The sequence below is a fragment of the Homo sapiens genome, chromosome 14, assembly GCF_000001405.40.
Source record: "Homo sapiens chromosome 14, GRCh38.p14 Primary Assembly".
NCBI lineage: Eukaryota > Metazoa > Chordata > Mammalia > Primates > Hominidae > Homo > Homo sapiens.
The window spans coordinates 86,229,336-86,238,378 of NC_000014.9; the positions used below are offsets into that span (position 1 = coordinate 86,229,336).

At 34.4% G+C, this 9,043-nt stretch overlaps 1 annotated feature.

Annotated features, from left to right (window-relative positions):
* Window positions 8,390-8,684: a silencer, noted in NCBI's record as "tiled region #9105; K562 Repressive non-DNase unmatched - State 24:Quies". NCBI's record gives its function as "represses a minimal TATA promoter and a strong SV40 promoter by Sharpr-MPRA in K562 cells {active_cell/tissue: K562}" and the evidence as "EXISTENCE:reporter gene assay evidence [ECO:0000049][PMID:27701403]".

Here is a 9,043-nt window from a genome sequence, read left to right on the forward strand (position 1 = left end):
ATTAAGAATAAGCCAAATACCGTGACGTTTCCTATTTTGCGGAAAGATTAAATTATGATTACTCAAAGAAAAGTGAACTTTAACTAGTTTCTCCATGGATTGTCAACTTTGTAGCATAATTATGAGTATTTATGTGTCATCACCTATCTTTTGTGACTCAACCAATGCAATCTAGTTTAACTAGTCTTGATATCTCTGTCATGCTTTTACTTATTGGAAGATATGCTTGTAAGTACTAGATCTAAAGTTTGTGAAAGAGATGAACAAGGTTAGTCCTCAGCTCATCTTTCTGTGGCAAATAGGCTATATTAAAAATATAAATTCCAGTCCATGAAGCCAGGTATCCAACATATTGAACAATACTTCCTGGTCTTGAGTGAGTTTGATGTTTTACTGTGAGTTCTCAACCTGCCCTGGGGACATGAAAGATAATCTCATTTTTCCCTAAAATCTTTTTGCATCCCAGGATAGTGCAAATTCTCAGTGGCCTAAAATAGCACAAAGACACCTTCAGCCCTTGGCTATTTGTCTGCCTCAATTACCGCAAAGCCTGCTGTCCCTGTGTTGCCTGGGGCCTGCTAGCTTTACTGTTTCTGTGTCCCACATAGAGCCCAAGAATCATTGACAAGCTTAGATTTAAGTAATATTTCTCTTGATGTTATTCCCTCCCAGGGCAAAGTCAGGGAAGTGGGACAGAAAGTAACAGACCTTTCTTGATTAGGAAACTCCTTCTTTCTCTTAAGAATGTTTCTGCTTCTCTGGTCCTTACAGGACATTCAGCATAATCTCCTCAGTGCCTTGAGGTTTTGAAAAAAAAATAGTGGCCTTAAAGAGAATTTTCTTTTTCTTTTTTTTTTTTTCTCTCTGTTGCTCAGGCTGGAGTTCAGTGGCATAATCTCGGCTCACTGCAACCTCTGCCTCCTGGATTCAAACAATTCTCCTGCCTTAGCCTCCCAAGTAGCTGAAACCACAGGTGCCTGCCACCACGCCCAGCTAATTTTTTGTATTTTAGTAGAGACAGGGTTTCACCATATTGCCCAGGCTGGTCTCAAACTCCTGAGCTCAGGCAATTCGCCCCTCTCGCCCTCCCACAAGTGCTAGGATTACAGGCGTGAGCCACCACGCCCAGCTGAGAATTTTCTCATGGGCAATTTCTGCTTTTTTCCTTGTTACAAGCTTCCTCTTGGCAAGAAAATCCACAAAAATAGTTTTCCCTGCTTGGATGAGACACATATAGGAAAATAAAGAAAGAAAATATATATGTAAACACCTTTAAAAAGTTACTGCACCAGATTTAATTATATTTGGGGTTTAGATTACCTTAACAATGAAAAAAGCACTACTGAATGAAGTAAATGTTTTAGACTTTCATCAAAAATAATTGAAGATACTAAAGCTAGTTATACTTATTTTATTTTAGATACAGGGTCGGCCTCTGTCACCCAGGCTGGAGTGCAGTGGCACAATTACTGCTGACTGCAGCCCTGACTTCCTGGGCTCAAGAGATCCTCCAACCTCACCTCCCCTCCCACCCCAAGTAGCTAGGACTACAAGTGTGTGCCACCAATTCTGACTATTTTTTTTTTTTCTAGAGATGGGATTTTGCTATGTTGTCCAGGCTGGTCTCAAATTAGATATTATCAAGAAGAGGAAATCATTTGTATTAGGATTCTCCAGGGAAACAGAATAGGAGACACACATAGATATACAGATATAGATGTTGCAAATTGGTGGATTTATTTTAAGGTATAGTATCAAGAGGCTGAGAATCTCCAGGACCTGCAGTTGGCCAACTAAATACGTAGGGAAGCTAATGGTATACTTCCAGTACAAAACCTGGCAGGCTTGAGAAGAGCCAATGTTTCTTTTAGTGTGAATGCAAGAAAGGACTGTCATCCCAGCTCAAAGCAGAAAGGCAGGAACAGTTCACTGTTACTCATGGGAGGGTCAACATTTTTGTTCTATTCAGGCCTTCAACTGATTGGATGTGGCCCACCCACATTAGGAGTAAAGATAGTACATGTATTACTTTCTTCAGTTTTCCTCTCTCACTGCCACTTAATAAATGTTTATAGGTTCCCTCAAACTTCTATATTTGAAAGTACTGTGTTCAGGTTATGATGTCAATGAGCAGTAAAATCTATGGCACATAGTGTTAAGTGAGGAAGAAAGAAATTAATCATAGTGGCTTAACTTAACGTACAACAGTAATGGTGAAAAAAGCTATAAGGAAAAATGTGTTGTGCTTTGAATGGAGTTGTGATAAAAGGCTAAAATACATTCTCAGACAGTTAGGTTTGGTGTCACATGTATTAGGCAGTTGGAATCAAAGAGATAGGTAAAGTCCTTGAGCTGAGGTAGGAAGCTTCCAACATTAGGACCTGAAAATGAGTCAGTGAAGACAGAAGGCAATGGAGGGAGAAGAGACGAGCTCGAAAAGAGTAAGGAGGCTCAAACTATCTAGAGATCTGAAGAACAATAATTGTCAATGTACTCTAAGATGAATAATATGGAAATATTGTTTTATTCAGTGCCATAGGGTTGAGATTTACTCAGATTTGTAAAATGTCCATATTGGACTTCATAGAATATTTTCAGTGTGGAGATAATACTTGAAAGTGTTCCAAAGGACCATACTAATGTCAGCTGTTCTTAACAATTATAAATGTTCTAAAGTATAAACCAATGCATTTTACAGTAGACTATTGCCATACTTCTATATATTTAAATAAAAACTAAATGATCATCCATTTGGAATGTCTTTTGGGTTGTTTTGCTTGGGAGAAAGTTTAAAACTCTACGAACATTTTCAGTGTTGGACTCTCATTCTTCTTAGAGACATCCTGAGAACAATCTCGCCAAAAAGAATCTGGCAGGGATGCAGAGACAAATTTAGATTATTGAGGACTGAAACTCTGGTAAAAAGGAAGAGAAATCTGAGTTGAAGCTTTTGACAGAATTTTCCTGCAAGACGTTTTTCTACATTGGAATCTTCAGAGGTCAAAATTAAAAAGCACATGAAAAATCTTTTAAAAATAAAAGTTTCACAGTATTAATATTCTGAGGAGACAATGATTAGTGTTCAGGACATGCCAGTGTCAGGATCCTCTGTGAATAATACCACAGGTTCTCACCTACAATTCTGTAAGCAAGGAGACTTAGAGTTGAAAGAACACTGCTAAATCTACAACCCAGCCTCAATTCAGTTTAGCTCCTGATTGAATTAAAATGACCAGCTCCACTGTACTTTCCTGGTAAAAGAAAGAAAGAAGAGTAGACCACAAAACAACCAGAAAACAAATAAAAAAAATGTCAGGAGGGAGTCCTTACCATCAATAATATTATTGTATGTAAATGAACTAAACTTTCTAATCAAAAGATACAGAAAAGCTGAATGGATAAAGAACAAGACCCAACAACAATGTATTGCCTACAAGAAACACATTTCACCTATTAAGATACAGGTAGATTGATAATAAAGGGATGGAAAAAGATATTCTATGCAAATGGAAACTAAAAAAGATGAAGGGTAACTATACTTATTTCAGACCAAATAGATTTCAAGGCACAAACTTTAACAAGAGACAAAGAAGGTCATTATATAATGATAAAGATGTCAGTTTACCAAGAGAATATATTAATACCAGCTTTATATATACATGCCTCCAACATTGGAGCACTCAGATATATAAAAAATATTATTAGAGGTAAAGAGAGAGCTAGACTCCAATACAATAATAATAGGTGGAGATTTCAATACCCCGCTTTTAGCATTGGACAGATCATCCAGGCAGAAAGTCAAGAAAAAAACATCGGACTTAATCTGCACTGCAGAATAAATGGACCTAATAGATATTTACAGAAAATTTTATCTGATGGCTACAGAATACATATTCATCTCCTTAGCACATGGCTCATTCTCAAGGATAGACAATATGTTAGGTCACAAAACAAGTCTTAAAAAATGCCCCTCCCAAAATTAAAATTATATCAAATGTCTTCTCTGACCACAATAGAATAAAACTAGAAATCAATCAAAACAGGAATCTTGAAAACTATATAAACAAATGGAAATTAAACAATTTGCTCCTTAATGACCAGTGACTCAATGAAGACATTAAGAAGGAAATTGAAAAATTTATTAAAACATATGAAAACAGAAACACAACATTCCAAAACCTGTGGGATACAATGAAAGAAGTAATGAGAGGAAAGTTTATAGCAGCAAGAAAAGTGAAAAAATGTTTTTCTATGTCAGAAAAGTGAAAAAACTTCAAATAAACAACCTAAGGACCTAGAAAAGCAAGCACAAACCAAATCCAAGATTTTTAGAAGGGAATAATAAAGGTTAGGGCAGAAATAAATGAAATTAAAACAGGAAAACTCATATAAAAGATTAACAAAACAAAAAATTGATTTTTTGAAAAGTTAAAGAAAATTGACAAGTGTTTAGCCAGACTAAGAAACAAAGAGAGAAGACCCCAATAAATAAAATCAGAGATGAAAAAGGAGACATTACAACTGCTACCACGGGAATTGAAAAGACTATTTGAGGCTACTATGAGCAATTATATGTCAATAAATTAGAAAAACCTAGAAAAAAAAAACAGATAAATTTCTAGGCACGTATAACTTTCAAGATTGAATTGTGAAGAAACCCAAAACCTGAATGGACAGATAACAAGTAGCAAGATTGAAACTGTAATAAATGCTCTCCTAGCAAAGAAAAGTTCAGGACCTGATGGTTTCTCTGTTGAATATCAAACAGGTAAATAAATAACAGCAAACCTACTCAAACTACTCCAAAAAATGGAGAAAAAAGGAATACATCCAAAATAATCATATTAGACCACTATTACCCTGATACCAAAATCAGAAAAAAACACATCACCAAAAAAAAGAAAAGAAAACTACAGGCCAATATCCCTGATGAACATTAATGCATACATTCTTAATAAAATACTAGCAAACTGAATTCAGCCACACATTAAAAAGATGATTCATTACAACCAAATAGGATTTATCCCAGGCATGCAAGGATGGTTTAACATATGCAAATCAATTAATGTGATGCATCATAACAACATAATGAAAGATAAAAGCTATATGATCATTTCAATTGATGCTGAAAAAACATCTGATAAAATTCAACATTTCTTCATGATAAAAATCCTCAAGTAACTGAATATAGAAGGAACATAGCTCAACACAATAAAAATGATATACAACAGACCCACAGCTAGTATTATACTGAATGGGGAAAAACTGAAAGTCTTTCCTCTAGGATCTGGAAGAAGACAAGGATGTCCACTGTCACCACTGTTATTCAACATAGTACTGCAAGTCCTAGCTAGATCCATCAGGCAAAAGGAAAACAAAGGGCACCCAAATTGGAAAGAAAGAAGTTAAATTATCATTTATTTGCAGATGTTATCTTATGTTTGGAAAAACCTAAAGGCTACATCAAAAAAGTATTAGAATTGGTAAACAAATTCAGTAAAGTTTCAGATACAAAATCAACATACAAAAATTAGTAGCATTTCTATACGCCAGCAACAAAGAATCTTAAAAAGAAATCAAGAAAGTAATTTCATTTATAGCAATTACAAATAAAATTAAATATCTAGGAATTAACTAAAGAAATGAAATATCTCTACAATGAAAACTATAAAATATTAATGCAAGAAATTGAAGAGGACAGAAAATGGAAAAATATTCCATCTTCATGGATTAGAAGAATAAATGTTGTTAAAATGTCTATATTACCCAAAGCAACCTACAGATTTAATATAATCCCTATTAAAACACCAGTGACATTCTTCGCAGAAATAGAAAAAACAATCCTAAAATTTATGTAGAACTACAAAAGACCCAGAATAGTCAAAGCTACCCTAAGCAAAAGGTATAAAATTGGAAGGATCACATTACCTGACTTCAGATTACACTACAGAGCTACAGTAACCAAAATAACATGGTACTGGCATAAAAGGAGACAATAAAACAGAATAGAAAATCTAGAAACAATCCATACATCTGCAGTGAATTCATTTTTTAAAAAGTTGCCAAGAACATGCATTGGGGAAAGGACAATGTCTTCAATACATGGTGCTGGGAAAACTGGATATCCATATGCAGATCAATGAAACCATATGCAACAATCAAATCAAAATGGATTGAAGACTTAAATCTGAGACCTCAAACTATGAAATTCCTATGAGAAAATATTGGGACACCCTTCAGGACATTGGTCTTTGCAAATATTTCTTGAGTAATACCTTATAAGCACAGGCAACCAAAGCAAAGATGGACAAATAAGATCACATCAAGTTAAAAAGCTGAACAGGAAAGAAAAAAAAACAGAAAAGTGAAGATACAGTCCACAGAATGGAAGAATATATTTTCAAACTATCTGTCTGATAAGTAATTAATAACCAGAATATATAAGGAGCTCAAACAACTCAGTAGGAAAAAAATCTTTCCTGCTGATTAAAAATGGGCAAAAGATATGAATAGACAATTATCAAAAGAAGACACACAAATGGCAAACAGGTATATAGAAAAGTTCTCAATGTGATTGATCATCAGAGAAATGCAGATCAAAACTACAATGAGAAATCATCTCACCCCAGTTAAAATCACTTTTGTCCAAAGACATGCAATAACAAATGCTGGCAAGGATGTGGAGAAAAGGGACCCCTCCATCCCCATACACTGTTGGTTGAAATGTAAATTAGTACAACCACTATGGAGAACAGTTTGTAGGTTCTTCAAAAAAATTAAAAATAGAGCTGCCATACAATCTAGCAACCCCACTTCTAGATATATACCCAAAGGAAAGGAAATTGGTGTATCAAAGAGATAGGTATCTGCACTTCCTCTCATGTTTGCAGCACTATTCAAATAGCTGATATTTGGAAGGAACCTAAGTATCCATAAACAGACCAATGGATAGAGAAAAAGTAATACGTGTACACAATGGAATGATATTATTCAACCATATAAGAGAACGAGATCCTGTCATTCATAACAACACCATGGAACTGGATGTCATTATGTGTAGTGACATAAGCAAGACATCAAGAAAAATTACATATGTTATCACTTATTTGTGGGAGCTAAAAATTAAAACAATTGAACTCATGGAAATAGAGAGCAGAATAATGGTTACTAGAGACTGAAAAAGTAGTGGGGCGAGGGTGGTGAGGGAAATAAGAATGGTTAATGGATACAAAAGTATAGTTGAATAGAATGAAGAAGATCTGGTATTTGATAGCCCAATGGGTGACTACAGTAAACAATAATTTATTGTACATTTACAAATCACTAAAGGAATATAATTAGTTGTTTGTAATACAGAGAAAGGATAAATGCTTGAGGTGATAGATACCCATTTACCCTGATATGATTATTATGTATTGTATGCCTATATCAAAAATGTCATGTGTCCCATAAATTTATCCACATATTATGTACATATAAAAATAAAAAAAAAGTGATACCTACTGTTTCATTCTGGATATTGGTAATTTGCATCGTCTCTCTTTTTTCTTTGTCATTCGTGCTAGATGTTTGGCAATTTAATTGATCTTTTAAAGGAACTGGCTTATTGATTTGTTGATATTCTTCAGTAATTTTTAAAGTTTTGTTTTAGATTTCATTGATTTCTTCTCATGGATTTTTGTTCCTTTTCTGCTGCTTGCTTTGGTTCTATTTTGCTCTCATTTTTCTACATTCTTAAGATGAGAGCTTAGATTGTTAATTTACTGCTAGAAATTTTCCTCAACACTACTTTAGCTTTTTCTCATATATTTGACATATTGCATTTATATTTTCATTAAGCTCTTTCTACTTTTTAAATTATTATTTTCTTTGAGTCTTTCTCTTTGACGCATTGATTAGTTTCCAAGTGTTTAAATATTTTCCTGCTATCTTTCTGTAATTATTTTCAGTTTGGTGTTGCTGAATTCTTCTATATCTTTGATTTATAGTTGGAAATTGTATTTTATTATTTTAAAGATTTTACTTTTCCTTTCTGTTTTTCATTATTTCTATTAGAAATTCAGTCATCATAACTCTAATTCCAGGAAGATGGATAAGATATAGTTTTCCCTATTTCTCCTGCAATGAACACAAATAACCTTGACATTATATGTAAAATAAACATAAGATTCTGAAATTTGAACAGAGGACAGCAAGATGGCTAGGCACCGAAGAACCCACGAAACAAGGAATAACAGGACGCTGAGTTTTCTGGAGTTTCATTTATCCTACATATCCTTGACTTGGATCAAAAGAATTTGACAATATGAACATGCCAATAGGCACAGATTTTTTAAAATCTCAAAAAGCATGCTTTCCCTAGACAAGTAACAGGAAAAAAAAAAAAGAATTCTAGCAAGACCGAAAACTTATAGATAAAAGCCACCCCGCTACAGCCATGTGCTACACAAAAATCTGTGGCTCACCTTCCTTCATGCCAACAAAAGCTGAGTGAGGAGCCTAGACTTCTATCCCTGCAGTCTGTAAAAAAGATTTCCGTTACCACCATCGGGGTGAGGACAAAGAAGTCAGGTGGGGAGCCAACACTTTTGCCTCTGCCCAGTGGTAATGAGGTAAAGTTTTTTTTCTGTCTTGTTACTGTATAAATGGTTGGGGGAAGGGTGTTGAAATCTCCAGCTGTGACTGTAGAGTTGTCTATTTCCCCCTTAAGTTCTGTTATACTCTGTTCTGCATGGTTTGCATCTCTGTTGTTTGGCACATGCTCATTTAGGATTGTTGTTTTCTCAGGGGATTGAACATTTTTTTTGGCATTATATAATGCTCATCTTTGTGTCTGATAACTTTTTTGTTCTGAAATTTAACTTGTTAAATATTACTGTGGCCACTCCTGCTGTACTGTATTACTGCCTATATCATTGTGTTTGAAATGAGTTTCTTATAAACAGCATATAGTTGATTCACATTTGTTAATACACCTTGCCAAGTTTTGTCTTTTAATTGCTGGCTTTGGATCATTTAAGGAAATTACTGTTATGTTCTTAAA